We start from the raw sequence: 21,819 nt of genomic DNA on the forward strand, positions 1-21,819 counted from the left end.
CACATTCAAACCACAGAACTTACCATTCAAAACAAAATAGAAGCCCACCAGGCGCGGTGGCTCACGCCTGTAACCCCAGAACTTTGGGAGGCCAAGGTGGGTGGATCACCTGAGGTCAGGGGTTCAAGACCAGCTTGGTCAATGTAGTGAAACCCCATCTTTACAAAAATACAAAAATTAGCCAGGCATGATAGTGGGTGCCTATAATCCAAGCTACACAGGAGGCTGAGGTGGGAGAATCACTTGAACCCAGGAGGCGGAGTTTGCAGCGAGCTGAGATTGTGCCACTGCACTCTGGCCTGGGCAACAGAGTGAGACACCGTCTCAAAAAAATTTTAAAAAAATTTAAAAACCCAACCAAAGAGGCCTGGCGCAGTGGCTCACGCCTGTAATCCCAGTACTTTGGGAGGCTGAGGCGGGTGGATCACCTGAGGTCAGGAGTTCGAGACCAGCCTGGCCAACATGGGGAAACCCCATCTCTACTAAAAATGCAAAAATCAGCTGGGCATGATGGTGCGCACCTATAATCCCAGCTACTCAGGAGGCTGAGGCAGGAGAATCACTTGAACCTGGGAGGCAGAGGTTGCAGTGAGCAGATATTGTGCCACTGCATGCACTCCAGCCTGGGCGGCAGACTGAGACTCCCTCTCAAAAAAAAAAAAAAAAAAAAAACCAAAACAAACAAAACAAAAGTGACAGCAACAGACAGCCCGCAGTCTCAGAACACCCACACTCTGTGACGACTCAGAATTTCTTCCAGACTTCACGGATCACCATTCTGGATAAAACAACAAATCAACTAAACGTGGACGCCTTCCCCTCCCTGCTTTGGCTGCCTTGTGGACACAGGTTCACACCAAGGTCATTACCAAGGGTTTGCATCCCCCCCAAGCTCTCCCCCCCACCCCCCGCCACACCCCTGAGGGTTGGGACATTCTGGAATTGCTTTGTTGATTGGCGCTGATGAGGAGGGCTTTGAAGGAGCCGTGTGAACATCCTTCAGGTCAAGGCCTGGGCGAAGCTGGCCCTGAGGCTGGAAGACATTCCTGGAGAAAATGCAGGGGCTCCTGGCCCCTACACGAAGTCCAAATGCAGAGGGCTGTGAAGTGGGCGGTGGGTGTGGGAGTGGGAAGGTGGAGGTGTCACGCCCCTGCCCCAGGTCACGTGACAGAGGTGGAAGGGTAAGTACAAGTCAGAGTACCCAGTGGAGCCCTGCAGGGCTGCTGGCGAGTGCTGCTGGGGCTGCAGAGTGTGTGAAGCCAGGCACCCCAGGACGTTTTGGGCATGAACAGGGATCAGGCCCCCATGGGGAAGGGGAGAGTGCTGGGGAAGTCTGACCCTGGTGGGGGCAGATCGGGGGAAGGTGACTGTGCAGGGCTGAACACTGTCATTCCACCTGAACCTGTGAGCATGACCGTGTGTGGAATAGTGTGTCCGGGTGCAGCTGCTCACACCTGTAACCCCAGCACTTTGGGAAATCAAGCTGGGAGGATAGCTTGAGCCCAGGAGTTCGAGACCAGCCCAGGCAACATAGAAAGACCCTGGCTCTACAAAAAATAAAAACAAATTAGCTGGGTGTCGTGCTGCACACTCATCCCAGCTACTCGGGAGGCTGAGGTAGGAGGATCGATTGAGCCCAGGAGGTCGAGGCTGGAGTGAGCCATGATTGTGCCACAGCCCTCCAGCCTGGGCGACAGAGTGAGACCCTGTCTCAAAAAAACAAATCGAAAGACAAAATAAGGTCCTAGATCCAACGACTGCTGAGAAGAGGGGGGCTGGCCACAGCAGACAAGGCCTCCGGAGGGCGGGGGCAGTGATGGCAGAGGTGCAGCCCCAGCCCCAGAACACCCAGACCTACCAGCACCGCCCGCGGCTGGAAGAGACAGGAAAGAGCCTCCTTCAGTGCCTTCGGAGGAGCGTGACCCTGCAACACCTGGGTCTGGACTTGGAGCCTCTAGAACTGAGAATGAGCTTCTGATATCCCCAGTTTGCAGGGCTGGGGCGTGCCAGGACCTCCCACAGCTGGTGGCCGTTCACAGTGCAGGCCTGATCTGGGGCTGCAGACACACTCAGCCTGACCCCACGGTCCACCTGGTTTTCGTCAGCTGGAGGTTGGCCCTTCCTATCTGTAGGGTCCAGCCCCACAGGGTCGGTGGGTTTTCCTCCTCGTGTGTGCAGACGAGAAATTGTAGAAATAAAGACGCGAGACAGATAAAAGAAAAGACAGCTGGGCCCGGGGGATCACTACCACCAAGACGCGGAGACCGGTAGTGGCCCGAATGCCAGGCTGCGCTGATATCTATTGGATACAAGATAAAGGGGCAGGGTAAAGAGTGTGAGCCATCTCCAATGATAGGTAATGTCACGTGGGTCATGTGTCCACTGGACGGGGCCCTTCCCTGCTTGGCAGCCGAGGCAGAGAGAGGGAGAGGAGACAGAGAGAGAGACAGCTTACGCCATTATTTCTGCATATCAGAGACTTTTAGTACTTTCACTAATTGACTACTGCTATCTAGAAGGCAGAGCCAGGTGTACAGGATGGAACATGAAGGCAGACAAGGAGCGTGACCACTGAAGCACAGCATCACAGGGAGACGGTTAGGCCTCTGGATAACCACGGGCGGGTCTGACTGATGTCAGGTCCTCCACAGGAGGTGGAGGAGCAGAGTCTTCTCTAAACTCGCCCGGGGAAAGGGAGACTCCCTTTCCCTGTCTGCTAAGTAGCAGGTGTTTTTCCTTGACACTGATGCTACCGCTAGATCATGGTCCGCTTGGCAACAGGTGTCTTCCCAGACGCTGGCATCACCGCTAGACCAAGGAGCCTTCTGGTGGCCCTGTCAGGGTGTAACAGAAGGCTCGCACTCTTGTCTTCTGGTCACTCCTCACTATGTCCCCTCAGCTCCTATCTCTGTATGGCCTGGTTTTTCCTAGGTTGTGATTATAGAGTGAGGATTATTATAATATTGGAATAAAGAGTAATTGCTATAAACTAATGATTAATGATATTCATATATAATATGTCTATGATCTAGATCTAGTATGACTCTTGTTGTTTGATATATTTTATTAAACTGGAACAGCTCGTGCCCTCAGTCTCTTGCATCGGCACCTAGATGGCTTGCCGCCGACACTTACCCAGTTCTTTGAAACTGTTAGGGCTTTTGCTTAACAGAAAGCAGAAAGATGACTCAGCCATGTGCAGTGAAAAAGCCGTCAGCCCCAATTGGTGACTCTGGGTCTTTAAACACCTTCCATGGGGCCACACAGGTGCCCAGCCCCATGCCAGAACCTTTGGGAATTGCAGACTCTGACCAAAACTGTGGGGCTCTCGCAAGAGCCTCAGGCCACTCCCTGCTGCCTTTCGTCCCCAACCTGGACCTCAGAGGCCCAGTGAAGTGACCATTGTAACTCCAGGACAGAACTGCACAGGGCCCTCGGGAGGTGGGGGGTGTCCAGGAGCACTGGCCAGCCCCATCGGCCCGGCCGCAGCTGTCTCTGCTGCCAGCCAGCAAGGATGTCCACAGGCTGTGGGCTCACCGGGGGTTCATCTGTAGCAGACACACCTATGGGCTCCCCCAGATTTTTTTTTTGGTTTTTTTGAGACAGAGTCTCTCTCTGTCACCCAGGCTGGAGTGCAGTGGCACGATCTCTGCTCACTATAGCCTCCACCTCCTGGGTTCAAGCGATTCTCCTGCCTCAGCGTCCCAAGTAGCTGAGATTACAGGCATGCACCACCACGCCCGGCTAACTTTTGTATTTTTAGTAGAGAGGAGGTTTCACCATGTTGGCCAGGCTGGTCTCAAACTCCTGACCTCAGGTGATACACCTACCTGTGCCTCCCTTCCAAAGTGCTGGGATTACAGGCGTGAGCCACTGTGCCCGGCCTCCCCTGGATTCTTGTTCTCATCTTCCTCCAGAGAGAACCCTGGCCATGCCACTGCCTCTGAAATGGGGGTCAGGGAAATGGTGTTGTCTGGGAAGCAGCTGAGGCTATGGTGTCTCTGAGGCTCACTCCAGGGCCACAGAGTGGGCCTAACCCACAGGGCTGTGTGTGATGAAAGGGCATCATAGACCGCACGGGCCCTGTGGAGGGTGGAGGGTGGTACCCACAGAACCGTCAGCAATTCTGACCCACCAGGTGGCACGCTGCGGAGGGAGGTGCACTGGCACGGGTGGTGTGTACGCGTCTAACCCCTCCTGCTGCCCCTCCCTCCCTGCCCGTGGGACCCCAAGTGCTCCCCTCTCCCCATTCTCCCAGCTCCTTCCCTTCTTCCTTCTTCTCCTCCCCACTGACAGGATTGAGTTGTGGAAATGGCTGCTTCCCTGGGCCCAGGGAAGGGGGGCGCAGAGCCCGAGCCCCCGGGACAGAGCCAGGCCCAGGGAAGGGGGGCGCAGAGCCCGAGCCCCCGGGACAGAGCCATTGCCCTCACCCTGGTGAATGGGTGGTTCAGAGGCCCACACTCGGGGTTCTCAAGGCCGGACAGCAGTTTGGGGCTCCTGCTCAGCTCGTGTCCTGCCTCTGCAGCCAGCCTGCGTGAGGGAGCAGAGACATCGAAGGGGGGCCGGGGAGCCTGGGCCCACCTCTCCATGACTGTGCCTTGGCCTGGGATTCTGGAAGAAGTAGTCACGTCTCTGCCACTCTTTAATGTTTTTTGAGACAGGGTCTCCTCTCTCACCCAGGCTGGAGTGCAGTGGTGCAATCGGCTCACAGCAGCCTTGACCCCCTGGGCTCCAGCCATCCTCCCACCTCAGCCTCCTGAGGAGCGGTCACCACGAGTGCGTGCACCACACCTGCTACATCTAAATCCTGGAGTTTCTTTCTTTCTTTCTTTCTTTTTTTTTTTTTTTGAGACAGAGCCTTGCTCTGTTACCCAGGCTGGAGTGCAGTGGCATGATTTCAGCTCACTGCAACCTCGACCTCCCAGGTTCAAGTGATTCTCCTGCCTCAGCCTCCCGAGTAGCTGGGATTACAGGTACCTGCCACTATGCCTGGCTAATTTTTGTATTTTAAGTAGAGACGGGGTTTCACCATGTTGGCCAGGCTGGTCTCAAACTTGTGACCTCGTGATCCGCCCGCCTGGGCCTCCCAAAGTGCTGGGATTACAGGCGTGAGCCACCACACCCAGCCTGTATTTTTTTTTTTTTTTTGAGCTAGAGTCTTGCTCTGTCGCCCAGTGGAGTGCAGTGGAGCGATCTCGGTTCACTGCAGCCTCTGCTGCCTGGGTTCAAGCGATTCTCCTGCCTTAGCCTCCCGAGTAGCTGGGATTACAGGCACCCGCCACCGCACCTGGCTGATTTTTGTTTTTTTTAGTAGAGACAGGGTTTCAGCATCTTGGCCAGGCTGGTCTTGAAATCCTGACCTCGTGATACACCCATCTCGGCCTCCCAAAGTGCTGGGATTACAGGTGTGAGCCACCATGCCCGGCTGTATTTTTTTTTTTTTTTTTTTGAGATGGAATTTCACTCTCGTTGCCCAGGCTGGAGTGCAATGGCATGATCTCGGCTCACCACAACCTCCGCCTCCCGGGTTCAAGCTACTCTCCTGCCTCAGCCTCCCGAGTAGCTGGGATTATAGGCATGTGCCACCACGCATGGCTAACTTTGTATTTTTAGTAGAGACAGTTTTTCTCTATGTTGGTCAGGCTGGTCTCGAACCCCTGAACTCAAGTGATTCACCTGGTTCAGCCCCCCAAAGTGCTGGGATTACAGGCGCCCAGCCTTTTATATATATGTCATAATATATACTATATATATATAATATTATATTATATTATATTATATATTATATATATATCTCATATATATATATATAATTTTTTTTGAGACAGAGTCTCGCTCTGTCACCAGGCTGGAGTGCAATGGTGTGATCTCAGCTCACTGCAACCTCCGCCTCCTGGGTTCAAGCAATTCTTCTGCCTCAGCCTCCTGAATAGTTGGGATTACAGGCGTGTACCACCACGTTTGGCTAATTTTTTGTATTTTTTAACAGAGACGGGGTTTCACCATATTGGCCAGGATGGTCTCGATTGCTTGACCTCATGATCCGCCCGTTTCAGCCTCCCAAAGTGCTGGGATTACAGGTGTGAGCCACCATGCCTGGCATATATATATGTTTTTTGAGACAGTCTCACTCTGTTGCCCGGGCTGGAGTGCAGTGGCACGATCCTGACTCACTCAACCTCCCAGGCTCAAGCAATCCTCCCACCTTAGCCTCCTGAGTAGCTAGGACTACAGGCGCCCACCACCACGCTCAGCTAATTTTTGTATTTTTTGTAGAGATGAAGTCTCAACATGTTGCCCGGGCTCCAAACTACTTTTTTGCACACAGGAGAGCTTTATTTCTCATAAGAGATTGCAGCCAGCAGGGCAGCCCTTCTGACAGGCTAGGAAGCGTAGCCTCAGGCCAGAAGCCTGGAACAGACACTTGGAGGGGAGGGACAGAGGGGACAGGAATTTACGCTGAAGGAGATGGCCAAATAGAGATGTTCAATAAGCTTCAGGAGGAGTCATGAATATTCATGAAAGGAGAAGCGTGTACTGGTCCAGCTGAGCAAATTCTCCATGGACTGCCCAGAACCAATCTCTGATCTCTTCTCGGGCCAGAAGGAGGGGCTGACCCCTTACCCCGTCATGGCTGAGGACTCGGGTTCAGGGTTTCTTTGGGATCCCCTTGGCCAGAAGAAGGTCCATTCATTCAGTTGGGGGGTTCATCTCAGACAACCTCCCGTCATCACCCCTTGAGTGAGACCTAAGCCTTCACCGCAGCCTTCGAGGTGCCGTGGTCTGGTGGGCCCCCTCCTGCTCCTCTGTGGCTCTCCCCGCCGCCATTCTGATACTGGCGTCCCCAATCTCCTTGAGAAACCATTTTCTCTACTCTGATGTCTTTTCAGAAGTCACATCCTGTTCTGGGGATGCACCCCTGCTCCTCCAGCCCCACCCAAACTGACTTAACACCCACCACCCTTCCCAGGTCAGCCCAAATGCCACTTCCCCCAGGAAGCTCTCCCTGATGCTGCCCTGGATGGAATGAGTCAGACCTGCTGTTGTGGGGCCCTGGCCGCGCCTAGATACACTTCTAGGGTCTATACTCGAGTATCCAGGTGATCTAGGGTCTATACTCGAGTATCCAGGTGACCACACTGCTGAAGTTGGCTTCTCCTGATCAGGCATCAACTCTGGGACTGCGTTTGCCGATTCTGTTCCCTAACGCAGCCGCAGGGGCCAGCACGCTGCCTGGCACGTCATGGGGGCTCCTCCATGTTGGGTGGATATGCGAACGGCTTCCTGAGAAAGTGCAGGATGTAAAGGAACGCGGAGGGTGGCGGCGGCGTGGAGGGCAGAGGCAAGGCACACGGCGAGGACTGCGTTGGGCCGGCCTGTGGTCTGTTTCACAGCAGACAGGGAATAGCAGCAGCCTGCAGTGTGCTCCAGAAGACAGTGGGGAAGGGGCCTGGCTGACATCTCGCCACCCGGTCAGCCTGTATCCTCCTTCCCCCATCTTTCTGTGATCATAAAGGATCCCTTGAGCCACTTGATTTTCACACTGTCAATGACCTAGAGTCACCAAACACCTCTCAACAAGCCGTGGTCTCCACTTGACATCTGGAACAACGCTCCTCGGGTCTGGGAGGACCACGCGTCGAAAGGGAAGAGCAGAGGACGCTGGCTCTCATGGCAGGATGGTGTGTGTACGGGACGCTGTGGGAGAGGAAAACAGCCACATGTGGGCTGGCTGCTTGGAGGAGACACATGAGCCGTGAACACGTCTCCCCCGGCCGCTCCCTGGTTCCATGCGTGCTCGTCTTGGGCACCACGAGAACACAGCCATGCAGCCCCCGATCCTGCAGCCACAGCCACGGCATCGCCTGGTCGGATGCAGCATCTGCTCCGGACGCCTCTCGCTGTCGGTGCCAGGCCTGCCAGGCCAAGCCCCGATTCTCAGGGGCGGCAGGAGGTGGGAGGCACGTTTGGGCGGATCTTTCAAATGGCACCTTTCAAATGGATCCTTTCATCTCTCCTTCCCCCAATGAATCAGCTCCCCAATGGGACGGGCAGGTAGGGCCAGGAGGGCAAAGGGCTGAGGGCACAGCTTACCGTCTTTCGGGAGGATGACGGCGGCCTTGGAGAGCCCCAGAATGTCACAAGCGTCCATGAATTCCTTCAGACTCTGGAAGCTCGAAACATTCTGCCTATCTGAGGTTGAGATCAGGATCACATCAGAGACTCCAGCTCTGGCCATTTTAGGGTCTGCACCCTGACCCCCATCCCTACCCCAGGAGCTGCTGAAATGTCCTCAGAGCTTAGGCGTGAAGCAGGGGTTGGCCAGGGGAGGACAGCGGCCGCTGGGCCCCTCCCCACTTACGAGGCAGCCAGGCTCGGGAAGCCAGGGTCACCACGCTGTCACCTGGGGAACCCTCTCTGCCTGCAGAGTCCCCTCCAGCCAGCCCCTCAGCTGTGCCCCAGCTTGCTGCACCCTGAGCGTGCCCTGCCTCGACTGAGACCCCAGGACCCCACCTCCCCTCTACCCGTTCCAACCGGGAGGGCCACTCCTTTCCGTGTACCCCAAGTGGTTGGTGTCTAGAATTGGGTTTGTGGCCCTTAACCCACACTGGGTCACTTCCACACCCCTCCATCCCGGGCAGACCCTTACCTGGGACCCCTCCCACGCCTCCTCATCCCCACTGTGTCCCTCACCCAGAACGTTGCACCTGCACCCGCCACCATCCTGGTGGCCTCCGCTCCCCCTGGATGGCCCACCTTTCTCTGCAGCCTCTTCCTGACGTCCCCTATCCTTGCTTCAGCGACCTCCAGGACCTGACTGCTGTGGTCTCGGCTTCCATTGCCCCTGCCCTGACCACCGCCCCAACCCCCACTCTCCCTGCCCGCCTCACCTCCTGCCCGGCCCCCTGTGCCCAGCGCCCCTCTATGCCTCCCTCTGCACCCCCTCCACCATCCTCTGCCATCCGCTGTGCCTGCTCACGGAAGAGCAGCAGGTTCTTGTAGTTTTGGGTTGCACGCCCCAGGCGGAGGTAGACCAAGCCGTAGCTGTAGTCAGTGGACAGCACGTGGAAGGCCTTCACCCCTTTCACTGAAAGAGATGCCCAGAGATGCCCGCTGGTTCCCGGATGGCGTGGCTGTGCCCGCCCACAGCCCTGACCCCTGGTGCCCGAGGCCTCAGAGCCCCCACCCAGGTGCAGGTGTCCAGAGGGACTGAGTGCCCTCCCGGGGCCTCCCCTCCCGGGCCAGGCCGCCCAGCACATGACGTGTGGGCTCTGGGAACACAGCCAGCCTGACGCCTGCCTGCCACGTGCTCTCGGGGACAAGGGGCCTGCTCAAGGCACAGGGGGGTCAGAGGCATATCACGCAGCTCCTCCAGGGCCCAGAGCCCAAGCACACCTCCCTCCTGTCCTTCCCTCGGGCCCGCCGCGTATGCACAGGCGTTCCCAAACACCGGCTTCTTCCCGTCTTTCCTCAGGATCACCTCCTGGGACTGGCACCCCTTCAACCTGGGGCCAAGGCGGGGGCTCAGGCTGCAGACCAGGGAACCCCTCCTCCCGCCTGCCAGCCACCGAGCCCCACCCACACGTCTCGGTCCCGCCCCTGCTCCCGTGGGACCCGGGAAGGTTGGGGCCCCAGGTCCCCAGTTTTTTGCTTCACTATCCAACTCGTGTCAATCTGAGGCTCTGTGGTTTGAGGATTTTCCAATTCGGACTGGGGCCTGTCCCACGGCACGAGAGAAACTCCCAACACCCACCCGTGTGGGGCCCAGGAGCTGCAAGCGGCTTCCTCCCAACACCTACCCATGTGGGGTCCCAAGGTCTGCAGGCAGCTTCCTCCCAACACCCACCCATGTGGGGTCCCAGGGGCTGCAGGTGGCTTCCTCTGAGTTTAGGGGGAGGAAGTGGGGGGACGGTTCTTGTGGAACTTCCAGACAGACAGGCTCCTCCCAGACTCCTTTCCAGCCCCGAGGCAGCTCCCTCCTCCTGGAAGGGGAGACCCTTGCCTGGGGGGCGCTGCCCACTCACCGTCTGAAGGCGAGGAGCACGCGGAGCTGGCCCACTTTGTTCACCTTTACCACGGACGCCCCCAGCTTCCTCTTGTCCCTGGCCGGCAAGAATCCCTGGGCATCAGTGGCAGTGGCCAGAATGTACCAGAACCCTGAAAACTGCGCAGCGGATGTGTGGGCGGGGACAGGAGCTGCCACCGGGGGCTGTCCCCACCCCCGAGGTTCCCAGCTAGAGAACCCAGGAGACAAATGACCCTTCTGTGAGCCGGAGTCCCAGCTCCGCCCAGGTGCCGCCTCGGTCCCGGCCACTCAAGCCCTGGCCACTGGAGCAGGGCTGCAGAGAAGCAGGTGCCCGGCTGGTCAGGGACCCCAGGCAGCAAAGGGCTGGGCTGTGGGCGCCAGCAGGTGGGAGGCCCCCTACCTCAGAGGCCCCGGCTCCTTCCCACATGGCCTCCTGGGGGCTGGGTACTGCTCGGCCACTTCCCTTCCTGCCGGCCCCCGGCCCCCAACTCTGCCTGCTGCCAACCCTAGCGCCCTGGGCACCGCCGTGCCAATGAGTGCTGCTCCCACGGCTCACTCAGCAGGTGCCCGGGCCCTCCCGCTACAGAATATGCCCCGCTTGCTCCACACCCACTCTGCACTCTGGGCGTCTCCCGACCTCCTCGGCCACAGCTCTCTGGGCCCCTCCACCCTGGCCCTCCCTGACCCCCCTGGGCCCCCGAACCCCCTCGAGGCTCCCTGCCTTTGCCCTGCAACTTGCGGGGCCCCTGTGCTGGAGGCTGCAGTGGGAGAGGCCAGGTGGGCAGCGCCCGTGCCTGGAACTGCTGGTAGCCCTGCTCCTGGGCGGCTGCCGGGAGACTGTGCAGGAGCCTGCTCCAGCTCCAGAGCCGGCGCCCGGCTCAGGGACCAGTGGCACATGGCTCACCTTGTTCCAGTTGAGGGCGTGGGACTCCCTGGGGTACCACTCCTGCACCTGGGACCCTGCAGCCAGCACTAGCACCAGCACCAGCACCAGCGCCAGCACCAGCAGCCCCTGCCTCATCTTCACCCTCCTCCCTCAGCCGCCAAGGCCAGTGTTTAAACCTCTCTGGAGCCGCCAGCCTGTGTCGGGAGAGGAGGGAGGGGAGGGAGCGGAGGGAGGCAACAGGTGTGGCCTTGGGCTCTGCTACCCTCTCCCCGCCCAGGGACCACCCCCAGACACTCCAGGGAAGCCGGCACTGCCCCACCTGGTGGTCACTGCTGGCCTGGGCTGCCCTGGCAGACAGAGGCCCCTCTGAGGCCCCAGGACCCTCCTGCCCTCAGTGCCCGGCCTGGGGTCACTGTGTGTGCCCCTGAGACTCATTAAGCCCTGGCCCTCATCCTAGACCTCCCAGGTGACAGGCAAAGGGCTGGTCGTGGCCCTTCTGGGGCAGATGTGGACATGGTGAGCTCTGCGCGGCAGCCACACACACAGCCCCCACCACCTTCTTGAGGGCCTGGCACCAAGCACCTGAGCAGGTGCCGAAGGGCGGGCCGGGGCTGTGTGCCCGTGCCCATGAATGTGTGTGTGTGCATGTGTGGGTGTGTGCTCACATGTGCATGCGTGTGCATGCCCAGCCTTGCAGGTCAAGGCATCTGTGTGCACCTCGCCTCACTCCAGCATGAGCCTCACACAGTCCCCAGCCCCCCATCCAGCCCCGAGACCCCCATGGCCTGTGCTTCTCCCAGGACGGCAGGCAGCGCAGCCCCCCACACCCATCAGAACACAGGAGGACCTGCAGGCTCAGGTGTCTGGGGTCCCTGCCCCTGCCCAGGCAAGAGACACAACCCCAGCCCAGAGAAGCCTGAGCCTGGGGAGTCAGGGGCTGCTCTGAGCCCCACCAGCCACCTCTCTCTTGTCCTGGGCAGTCCTTGGAGCCTCTGGCACCCCAGCTGCGGTCCTGGTGGAGCTCACTGCTGGCTTCCTCCCAGGCTGTGTCCTCTGACCAGCCCCCGCCTCTGAGCCCGGGCCTGAGTTTGGGTGTCTGAAGACCCAGAGGGGCTCTGGCAAGGGACTGGGTTGGGCACGCGTCTTCTTTGCAGCTGGCTCTATGGTTCTGTGGCTTGGCCCTTGGTGACGACCCCCGCCATCCTCCCCGCAATTCCCCGGCTGGCCCCCAGTCAAAAGCATCCTTGGTTTGCTGTGGAATCGCTTTATTCTGAGCTGGTGCTGGGCCCCGGGAGCCGCTGAGCGAGGTGGGTGGACACTGGCCGAGGTCACAGGACCCTGTGGGCGCCATCCCTACTGGGGACGCAGCACTCACTGAAAACCAAGAGGAGTGTGAGGGGGCCCAGCCCACCATGGAGGCTCCTCCACACCCTCAGCTGCCTTAGAGACAGTGGAGCCATGAACCCCGTGGGCTTGGGCAGAGGGTCCTCCCACCCACTGTGCGTAGGGTGGCCTCCCCCACCCCCTTCCCCCAAGAGAGCCCAGGGTGAGGCTCAGGATGGCGGCTTACCAGAAGGATCTTGTGAGCACAGGTGACTAGAAGGGGAGGCAAGACTGGCTGTGAAAAAGGACTGAGCCCCCCAGCACCCCAGGGCCCCACCCACAAGACTCGCCTGCCGTGGGGACAAGACCCCCAGGCCTGACTTTGGGCAGGGGCAGGTGAAGACCCCCTCAGCCTGCCTGACTCCTTCAGGGCGACTGAGTCAGGCAGAAGCCAGAATCAACCCCAGGGTCTCTGTCACCCCATCACGCCCTGTGGGCTCCAGAACTTGCCCCAAGCCTCCCCCGAGGCTGCTCCGGTGGACACTCACGGTCCTTCTGCAGCTGGGCCTGCTACTGTGACAGGAAGCCCAGGCTCCTGCTCCACTTGGTGAAGAGCCCCATGGCCTCCTGGCTGGCTGTCTCCGTCAGACCTGGGGGCACCAGGGCAGTGCAGGGGGAAGCAACCTCTGAGAGCTGGGGAGGGGCCGGGGAGGGGCTGGGAAGGGTCAGGAAGGAGGCCACCTGCCCTGGGATGCTGGCCCCGGTCCTTCCAAAGCCACCTCCAGTGCAGCGAGCCTCAAGGTGGGGGAACTTGGCCTGCATGTGGTCCTGTGCGGCCCACCCACCACACAGCTCCCCACATGGCCCCCGAGCGGCCCACTCACCACACAGCTCCCCATGTGGCCCCAAGCGGCCCACTCACCACACAGCTCCCCACATGGCCCCCGAGCGGCCCACTCACCACACAGCTCCCCACGCGGCCCCCAAGCGGCCCACGCACCACACAGCTCCCAACGTGGGCCCCGAGTGGCCCACGCACCACACAGCTCCCTACGTGGGCCCCGCACAGCACACTTACTGTACAGCTCCACGGTGTTGAAGGGCTCGTCCCCGAACTCCAGCTGAGTGAAGATGATGGCATAGTCTCTGAAGTTGGTGGCCAGCACCCAGAGCTCCAGCACGCCTATTGCTAGGAAACAAAACCCCCCGCCTCAGGGGAGGGCAGCTGCTGTATCCATCCAGGGGCCGCTGAGCTGATGCTGGCCACAGGGACAGAGGGGCCAATTCAAGTGAGAGCCCCCCTCCCCAGGAGACCCCTCCAAGCACACCCAGAGCCCCCAAGCTTTGTCCCCCACCCCCGACCCCACCTGGTGCCAGCATCAAGGGGCTTTCAGACACTGACGGACAGACAGACAAGCACTGCCCCAGCCTGTCCCAGGTGTGAACGAGGAGCGGCTGGGTCACACCAGCCCAGCCCTGTACCTGTAGACAGCCACTAAACAGGCCCCTCGCCCTCTGCACCTATGGGGACCTTGGCTGGACCTCACTGGTGTCTGAGCCTGCTGGGAACAAGGTTCCAATCCTCTGTCCAGGGGCTTCTCTTCACCCTCAGGATGGGCAGCAATCCCAAGACCAGAACCTGTAGCCTCCTGGCTCTCGGGAGCGGAGTCAGCCCTCCGTCCCTGCCCGCAGGGGGCCTGGGGATGCTGCAGGGAAGAACGGCCTGGGTGAGGCCGTGGCCGTCAGACTCACAGGGATTCTCAAACACCCATCCGGAGTTTCGCTTTATCAGGTCCATGACACTCTGGTCACACCCTCCCAGCCTGGAAAAGAAGGGGCCTGTCACCCACTCAGGGTCAAGACCCCGGGGCCCGGTGAGAGGAGACGGAGCTCAGGAGTCCAGGCCAGGCCAGCCAGCAGTGAGGCCAGAGCTTCCATCTTCTGCCAGATGCCCCGATGCCCGGAAACCTGTTCTCGGAGAGTGGACGGCGTGGGAGTCCTGAGAGGGGCGGACACTCCCATTCACTTCCTGAGAGATCCTCAGTGCCAGATCTCCACCAGGAACGCTGAATGCTGCTGAGGACACAACAGGAGACTCGACAGACGGGAGGTTCGCCCGCGACTCGGGGGAAAGATGGGGTGGGGTGGGGGTTCGCCCGTGACTCAGGGGAAGGATGGGGCGGGGTGGGGGTTCGCCCGCAACTCAGGGGAAGGATGGGGCGGGGTGGGGGTTCGCCCGTGACTCAGGGGAAGGATGGGGTGGGGTGGGGGTTCGCCTGCGACTCAGGGGAAGGATGGGGCGGGGTGGGGGTTTGCCTGCGACTCGGGGGAAGGGGCCGGCGCTCCCTAAGTGGTCAGTCCCCAGAGTGAGCAAAACCCAGCAAAGGTGCAATGGTGTTTGCCAAGGAAGGAAACTGAGGCTGAGTCCATGCGGGAGGAACAGCAAGAAGAACTAGGAAAGCCACGTGGGAGCTGCCACCTCAGCCTGGAGCCCCTTGGTCCCAGCTCGCCCTGAGGCCAGGCCTGGCCCGGGGGGTGCAGTGGGGCCCCTGCCCATACCCTGCAGGCGCAGGTGCAGGGGGAAGGCACGCTGGTGAGGAGGGCAGGTTCTTCTCTCTGGGCCCCGTACCTGGCTCAGTGGTTCAGGCCTGGGCTCTGTCGCCAGCCTGCCAGGGGGTAGACACCCACCACGCCACCCAGCAGGCCACTCTTCTGTGAAGGGAGGCGGGCACCGACTCCTGCCCCAGCACGGCTACCCCCACAGCCCGGCTGCCCTGTAGGTGTCCCCTGTGTAGCACGGCCGCCCCACAGCCTGGCCCACCCGACCCCTGCACGCCGCCACCAGCCATGCATGTGGTCGGGTGCGCCTGCCTGAGGCCACAAGGCCAGTCTGGCCAACAGCGTCCATGACCATATTGTTTGGGGATTTATGTTATGAAAGAACCAGTGGTTCTTAGGTCCGAATGCATTATCCTCCTTTAAACAGAATTCCCGAAAAAGGCCTGCTGAGAGGACAGGCTTCCCCAGCTCTGACCACAGCCTGCAGCCCAGATGACCCAGGACAGGGATGCATGAAGGAGCATAGTCAGAGCAGTGCCCGCCGCGGTATTGAAGGTGGGAGTGCCACCTGGAGGCCCCAGGGACACAGATGTGAGTAGCTGGGCAGAGGGCTGGTGGCTCTGCACAGAGCCCAGTGGGAAAAGTGACGGGGGTGCAGAGGGGCCGTGGGAAGCCCCCAGGCCGCGGTGCCCGGGAGCAGATGTGCAAAGTACATGATGTGGCTGAGCCACAGTCCTGCCTGCGGGAAGGCCTGGCAGGACCCGCCCACTCACCCGTGCTGAGAGGACAGCGTCCGCAGGTTGTTTTCTGGAGTGAGGGTCACCACCACCCCCACGACGTTCTTCATGTCCTTCTCCATGGCAAAGCCCTTTTCCCGGGAGGCCACCGCAAGCACGTACCAGGGCCCAAGAAGCTGCATTGAGGCGGCTCCCGTTAGGGCCGCCAGCCCTCCAGCCTCCAGCCTCCAGCCTCCAACCCTCCAGCCTCAGCCTCCAGCCTCCAAACCTCCAGCCTCAGCCTCCACCCTCCAACCATCCAGCCCTCCAGCCTCCAGCCTCCAACCCTCCAGCCTCCAGCCTTCCAGCCCTGCAGCCTCCAGCCTCCACCCTCCAACCATCCAGCCCTCCAGCCTCCAGTCTCCAACCCTCCCGCCCTCCAGCCTCCAACCTTCCAGCCTTGCAGCCTCTAGCCTTCAGTTCTCCAGCCCTCCAGCCTCCAGCTTCCAACCCCCCAGACCTCCAACCCTCCAGCCTCCAGCCTTCCAGCCCTACAGCCTCTAGGCTCCAGCCCTCCAGCCTTCCAACCTCCAGCCTGCAGCCCTGCAGCCTCTAGTCTCCAGCTCTCCAGCCCTCCAGCCTCCAGTTCTGCAGCCCTCCAGCCTCCAGCCCTCCAGCCTCCAGTTCTACAGCCCTCCAGCCTCCAGCCCAGCAGCCTCCAGCCTCCAGTTCTCCAGCCCTACAGCCTCCAGCCCTCCAGCCTCCAGTTCTCCAACCCTACACCCTCCAGCCCTGCAACCTCCAGTCTCCAGCCTCCAATTCTCCAGCCCTCCAGCCTCCAACCCTCCAGCATCCACCCCTCCTGCCCTGAGGCTCCTGCCTGTGGGACTCCCCAAGGGCTGGCCCAACTAATTCCCCACTGCTCATGCTGGTCTGGGCTAGCCCTGGGGGGCCCAGAAGCTGTGTGGCCTTAAAGGAGGGGCTGGCCCCCGAGGACCAGCTCTCCCCACCCCCAGGAGGACTGTACCTGCTCAGGGTCCAGTCTTCCCAACCACACGGCCTGGGCCCTGGGCACCGAGACCAAAGCCAGAAAAGCAGCCAGCAGCAGGCCGCCCATCCTCCCAGGTCTACACTGCGCCGCAGGCCCAGGATGTGCAGTCCCTCCAGGCCCTGGAGACCCGTTTATATGGCTCTGAATTTCTCCGTGTGGGTGGCACTAACTGCCAGGAACCCTCCTGGCCTCCTGCAAAATTACCCAGGGGAGCACTGAGCAGTGGCAGCCTCTGAGCCCAGATCAGACCAGCTGCACAGCCAGGAGAGGGTCTGGAGTGTGTGGATCAACCATACTATACTGATCCCCTGCTTTCTTCCACCAGAAGGTTCCAGAATGGGCATCCTAAAGCCAGCCGCACCACCTCCCCCGTTCCTGGGGACCCACGCTCTCCCTCGCCCAGCCTGGGAAGCAGGGAGACTGCTGTCCGCTGCCAGGCCCGGCAGGAGGCCAAGGTCAAGCCCAAGGAGAGGAACCAGGGCGAGAACAAGTGGTTCTCAGGAACTGCGGTTTTGGATATCTTTTGTTTCAATCATTAAATATAAAAAGTCCCTGAAAGCCTTTTGAAAAAGGCTCCCACCTCCTCCTGGCCCACCCACCATTCTGCTTTGTGGCCTGGCCTCTGTCCCCCACAGCCAGCACCCCCAGAACAGACTGTCCTGTTCCTTCCACCTCTGCAGCCCACCATCCGGCCCTGCTGCCTCCTGCCTCCCCTCCCTGGGACCCTGGCCTGCTTGTGCCTCCCAAGGCCCCTTGAGAGCTCTCTGCAGCCCCAGTCCGGGAGCAGAGGACAGAGGTGCTCGGCAGGGTCTATCTGAGCCCCTGAAGCCCACTGGGAGGCAGCCGGGAGGGTCCTCCCCCAGTGCCGTGGCCTGCACCCTCTGGGATTCACTCCCACACACCTTCGCTCATTCATCAACAAGGGTGCAAGGAGCACGTCCATGCAACAAGGCTCCAGTGCCCAGGGCCGCCTGCACTCACAGAGCTTATGCTGCAGCCCTGGCCACCTGCCCTGTACCCACGCAGCAGGGCCTGTGACCACCAGAGTGCAGGAGGAAGGCAGAAACCACACAGCTACTGGGGGCTGGGCCTGCGAAGACTGACCGGGCAGTGGGGCCACGGAGGTGCCAGCCACAGCCATGGCAAGCAGGAGTTGCCCAGGGGCTGAGCCACAGAACAAGGGAGCGGGACACTTAGGCCTGGAGCCTTCAGGAGGGAGCCGTGGCTGCTCGCGGTAATCCCAGCACTTCAGGAGGCTGAGGCGGGAGGATCACTTGAGTCCAGGAGTTTGAGACCAGCCTGGGCGACATAGCAAGACTTCGTCTCTACAAGCAAGTTTAAAAATTAGCTGGACATGGTGGCGTGCTCCTGTAGTCCCAGCTACTCAGGAAGCTGAGGTAGGAGGATTGCTTGAGCCCAGGAGGTTGAGGCTGCAGTGAGCTGTGATCGTGCCACTCCTCTCCAGCCTGGGTGATGGAGCAAGACCCCATCTCTAAAATAAAATAAAAATACAAAAAGGAGGAAGCCGAGCAGCTGGGCCAGGCCTCTGAGAAGGAAACACCTGCCAGCCCCACTAGTGTCCCTAAGGGCTGCGGGGAGCCTGGTTCTCGAGGCAGCCACAAAACAGCACGCTACATCAGCCGGGTGTGGTGGCTCATGCCTATAATCCCAGCACTTTGGGAGGCCGAGGCGGGCAGATCACCTGAGGTCAGGAGTTCGAGACCAGCCTGGCCAACTTAGTGAAACCCCATCTCTAGTAAAAGTACAAAAATTAGCCGGGCGTGGTGGTGGCGCAAGCCTGTAATCCCAGCTACTCGGGAGGCGGAGGCAGGAGAATCGCTTGAACCCGGGAGGCAGAGGTTGCAGTGAGCCGAGATTGCGCCACTGCACTCCAGCCTGGGTGACAGAGTGAGTAAGACTCCGTCTCAAAAAACAAACAAACACACAAACAAACAAACAAACAAAAACAAAGGATAAACCTCAGAGTCTAATGAGACTAGTTCCCTGCTGGGGTGGGGAGCTGGAACAGGGTGGGGGGATGAAGTTAGACTTTTTTGAGTAAACGTTTTTGTATAGTTTTGACTTTGGAATCAAAGTAATTTGGTATGTTATACTGTTATACTCAAAAGTAAAATAAACAAATTCCAAACATGGGATATAGTTGCATTATAGATAAATGACAGCCACACTGAAGGGGAAAGGACTGCCCCTGGTAACTTCTGAACACAGTAGTTTTTCTCTGTATTCTCAAGCTAACAGCAGAAAGAGCTGTAAACACATCCTAAGCTCTCATGGGCAGGTTCATGACTAACAGTGGTTTGGGTGAGCAATTCTGATACTACTTTCCGTGTGCTCTAGAAGGGACCAAATGAGTAAATATATCAAGGATAATGGGTTTCTCTGTGTTGGAAAAGAGAATTATAAATATAGACATATAGAAAGGGGAGAGATCAAAGTGAACCCTGTGGCGTCTGATTAGAATTGGAAATATCCATGTGAACTCCAATTTTGGTAGACACATGGGGAGAGGCAGGGAGGGAAGGAGAGAGGGAGGAGGGGAGGAAGGAGGGAAGGGAGGGAGGGAGGGCAGGGAGGAGAGGAAGGAGGGAGAGAGGGAGGGAGAAATGGGAGGGGAAGGGAAGAAGGAGAGAGAGAGAGGGAGGCAGGAGAGGGGAAGAAGAAGGAGGGAGGAAGAGGAGGAAGGAAAGTCCAGGCTCTGTGTGTTGAGAAGGTTTAGATACAATCGGACCCAGTAAAAGTAAAAGCACACCCAACACTCAGAGCTTGGTTTCTCCACACACCATTCTATATGAAAAGGAACCAGGACTCTGGTGAATTATTCAAACCTGTGTACAGAAAATGCAAGAGGAACTTGGAATGTTTTTTGTGCCAAAAAGCAAAAATGTGCTCAAGGAATCAGGGAATGTACCAACAACACTCTGAAGCCACTTTGAAGGCACTCCCATTGGGTAGAAATGATTGTCATAAATTGTAACCTATGGAAGAAAACAGGAACTGCTGAGTCCATGCTGATATAATTAAGTAACCAAATGGAGGGCAAGGAATGCAGGTTCCAGTGGGCTCACTTGGTCCCCACTTGTCACACGGATCTTCTTCCTGCAGACCTGAGTGGCCATCCAGAGTCATTTCCCTCTGCCTAAGGAACATCCTTGGCATTTATTTATTGTACTGAAGCTGTGCTAGAGATAAATTCCCTCAACTTCCATTTGTTGAAAAGTATGTTTATTTGACCCTCAGTTTTGAAGGATATTTGTCCTAGATAAAGAGCTCTGCGTTGATTTTTTTTTCATCAATGTAAAGATGGCCTATTGTCATCTCCTGGTTTCCATTTGTCATGAGAAGACAGCCATTGTGTCCCCCTGTTTATGCCCTGTATTAGTCCATTCTCACATTGCTATGAAGAACTACCTGAGACTGGGTAATTTATGAAGAAAAGAAGTTTACTTGACTCATGGTTCCACAGGCTTTACAGGAATCACAGCTGTGGAGGCCTCAGGAAACTTTCAATCATAGCTGAAGGTGAAGGGGAAGCAGGTACATCTTTACATGGCCAGCAGGAGAGAGAATGAAAGGGCAAGTGCTACACACTTTTAAACAACCAGATCTCCTGAGAACTCACTCACTGTCACAAGACCAGCAAGGGGAAATCTGCCTCCATGATCCAATCACCTCCAACCAAGCCCTACCTCCAACATTGGGCATTGCAATAATGCCACATGAGATTTGGGTGGGGACACAGAGCCAAACTATATCATGCCCTGTCTTTTTTGTTTGTTCTTAAAGAGAGACAAAGTCTCACTATGTTGCCTAAGCTGGTCTCAAACTTCTGACCTCAAGTGATCTTCCCGCCTCAGCCTCCCAAAGTGCTGGGATTACAGACGTGAGCCACCAAACCTGGATGTGCCCTGTCTTTAATCCACAGATCCCTTTAAATTTTTATCCAAATCATTGGTTGGCAGTGCTTTGACTATAATGTCCCCAGGTGTGATTTTTGTGAGGCTTTCTTTTTCATCCTGCCTGGGTTTCTCTGAGCCTCTGGGCTAAGTTGATGTTTCCATCAAGTTTGGGTTATTTTGGCCACTGTTTCTTCATGTATTCTCACTCTCTTCTCTTTCTCAGGCTAGTTTACATTCTTTATCTTGCCCCACATATCTTTGAGGTGCTATCAACCATTTTCTTCTCTGTTCCTCAGACTGGATAATTTACATTGATTTGTGCTCAAATTCATGGACATTATTTTTGCCATGGCCAACTCCTATTAGTCTTTCCAGTAAATTTTTCATTTATTGTACTTTTCAGTTCCATAATTTTTTCTTTTTTATAGTTTCCATTTCTCTCTTGATTTCCTGATCTGATCTCCTACATTCACTCCTTAATTCTTTATCAATTAGTTAGTCCTTTAATGCTATTGTGTCACTATTTCTTTCCTTAGAGTATATCTTGCTTTTCTTTTAACTACTTATAATGGCTGTTTTAGACCTTTATCTTCTGAATACAACTTTGGGTCTTCTCGGTGTCAGTTTTTAGTAACTTTTTTTTTCTTTTTTTTTTTAACATAGGTCATACTTTTCTGTGTCTTTGGACGTCCAGTGACTTTTGGGCAGGACGTTGTTGATGACGGCAGCCCTGCATCTACTGTCACCCTCTAAACAGCACTGACTTTTGTTCTGGGATGAATTCTGCCCTCCCAAAATTCCTGCGTTGAAGCCCCAGATCCCATGGTCACTGTTTCAGGAGATGGGACTCTTAGGAGACAATCGAGATTAAGTGAGGTCAAAGGGAGTGGCCCTAATTTAACAGGCTGATGTCCTTATTAGGAGAAAAAGAGGCACCCAGAGAGCGCTCCCTGCCAGGTGAGGACACAGCGAGGGGCTGCCTTCTGCGAATGGGCAGGAAGCCCTCACCAGAAACTGCACTTTCCGGCACCTTAATCTTGGACTTCCACCCTCCAGAACGGTGAGGAAATACAGTTCTGTTGTTTAAGGTGCCCAGTCTGGGGTATTTTGTCACGGGAGCCTGAGCTGACAGCGAGAGTGACAGCCCCTCCAGCAGGAAATCCAAGTCCAGGCGAAGCTCCTTGAACCCGTGGGCTTCGGCCAGGCACAGCTGCGCAAAGTCACGGCTGTTTCCCAGGAGCCCCTAACTTGTCAGAATGCAGCCTCTACATGTCCCTCCTGTGGGTCTCGGGGGCACAGTTCTGGATTTGAGGCGCATCTAGGGTGCAGCCCTTGTTCCT

At 57.7% G+C, this 21,819-nt stretch overlaps 2 protein-coding genes, 1 long non-coding RNA gene and 1 other non-coding gene across 10 annotated transcripts, besides 3 other annotated features; 1 reads left to right on the forward strand and 3 right to left on the reverse strand.

The window, feature by feature from the left end:
• Window positions 737-1,581: an enhancer, noted in NCBI's record as "H3K4me1 hESC enhancer chr9:139627044-139627888 (GRCh37/hg19 assembly coordinates)". NCBI's record gives its function as "activates a minimal SCP1, AML or CMV promoter by ChIP-STARR-seq in primed H9 embryonic stem cells {active_cell/tissue: H9 hESC(primed)}" and the evidence as "EXISTENCE:reporter gene assay evidence [ECO:0000049][PMID:30033119]".
• Window positions 3,406-3,905: an enhancer, noted in NCBI's record as "H3K4me1 hESC enhancer chr9:139629713-139630212 (GRCh37/hg19 assembly coordinates)". NCBI's record gives its function as "activates a minimal SCP1, AML or CMV promoter by ChIP-STARR-seq in naive H9 embryonic stem cells {active_cell/tissue: H9 hESC(naive)}" and the evidence as "EXISTENCE:reporter gene assay evidence [ECO:0000049][PMID:30033119]".
• LCN10 (lipocalin 10) lies at window positions 6,315-11,085 on the reverse strand. 7 transcript variants are annotated; one of them, NM_001001712.3, is made up of 6 exons: window positions 10,932-11,085; window positions 10,026-10,165; window positions 9,397-9,506; window positions 8,981-9,088; window positions 8,095-8,193; window positions 6,315-7,698 (listed from the first exon to the last, which is right to left on the reverse strand). In NM_001001712.3, exons 1-6 carry the CDS (start codon window positions 11,046-11,048, stop codon window positions 7,670-7,672), a joined length of 603 nt encoding a protein of 200 aa, NP_001001712.2. In that variant the 5' UTR covers window positions 11,049-11,085; the 3' UTR covers window positions 6,315-7,669. The 7 variants fall into 7 exon arrangements, 3 of the variants coding, with proteins under 3 accessions (NP_001001712.2, NP_001355018.1, NP_001355019.1); NR_160515.1 differs by lacking the exon at window positions 9,397-9,506; NR_160516.1 differs by lacking the exon at window positions 9,397-9,506 and having other exon boundaries at window positions 9,801-10,165.
• Window positions 10,490-10,589: a silencer, noted in NCBI's record as "silent region_20539". NCBI's record gives its function as "represses an Ori minimal core promoter by ATAC-STARR-seq in GM12878 lymphoblastoid cells {active_cell/tissue: GM12878}" and the evidence as "EXISTENCE:reporter gene assay evidence [ECO:0000049][PMID:35858748]".
• A 1,076-nt stretch (window positions 11,086-12,161) lies between the features above and the next one.
• Window positions 12,162-16,670, reverse strand: LCN6 (lipocalin 6). Its single transcript, NM_198946.3, has 7 exons — window positions 16,539-16,670; window positions 15,569-15,708; window positions 13,989-14,059; window positions 13,315-13,425; window positions 12,785-12,886; window positions 12,484-12,509; window positions 12,162-12,287 (listed from the first exon to the last, which is right to left on the reverse strand). The coding sequence occupies exons 1-5, from the start codon at window positions 16,626-16,628 to the stop codon at window positions 12,807-12,809; spliced, it is 492 nt and encodes a 163-aa protein (NP_945184.1). The 5' UTR covers window positions 16,629-16,670; the 3' UTR covers window positions 12,162-12,287; window positions 12,484-12,509; window positions 12,785-12,806.
• Window positions 14,306-18,056, forward strand: LOC100128593 (uncharacterized). Its single transcript, NR_033913.1, has 3 exons — window positions 14,306-14,346; window positions 15,223-16,717; window positions 16,891-18,056. It is a non-coding gene; the product is annotated as an uncharacterized LOC100128593 (long non-coding RNA).
• Window positions 15,038-15,115, reverse strand: MIR6722 (microRNA 6722). Its single transcript, NR_106780.1, has one exon. It is a non-coding gene; the product is annotated as a microRNA 6722 (primary transcript).
• Window positions 18,057-21,819: the final 3,763 nt, after the last annotated feature.

Source organism: Homo sapiens, chromosome 9, assembly GCF_000001405.40.
Source record: "Homo sapiens chromosome 9, GRCh38.p14 Primary Assembly".
NCBI lineage: Eukaryota > Metazoa > Chordata > Mammalia > Primates > Hominidae > Homo > Homo sapiens.

What these genes read in the sequence shown, in the direction of transcription:
- LCN6 (NM_198946.3), bottom strand. Translation starts at nt 16,628, where the DNA reads ATGGGCGGCCTGCTGCTGGCTGCTTTTCTGGCTTTGGTCTCGGTGCCC. An exon ending in ACGCTGTCCTCTCAGCACGG is followed by an intron (nt 14,060 to 15,568) that starts GTGAGTGGGCGG and finishes CTTCTTTTCCAG; the next exon opens with GCTGGGAGGGTGTGACCAGA. An exon ending in CAACACCGTGGAGCTGTACA is followed by an intron (nt 12,887 to 13,314) that starts GTAAGTGTGCTG and finishes TGGTGCCCCCAG; the next exon opens with GTCTGACGGAGACAGCCAGC.
- LCN10 (NM_001001712.3), bottom strand. Translation starts at nt 11,048, where the DNA reads ATGAGGCAGGGGCTGCTGGTGCTGGCGCTGGTGCTGGTGCTGGTGCTA. An exon ending in ACGCCCTCAACTGGAACAAG is followed by an intron (nt 10,166 to 10,931) that starts GTGAGCCATGTG and finishes TCCGCTGCGCAG; the next exon opens with TTTTCAGGGTTCTGGTACAT. An exon ending in GAGGGAAGGACAGGAGGGAG is followed by an intron (nt 9,089 to 9,396) that starts GTGTGCTTGGGC and finishes CATCTCTTTCAG; the next exon opens with TGAAAGGGGTGAAGGCCTTC.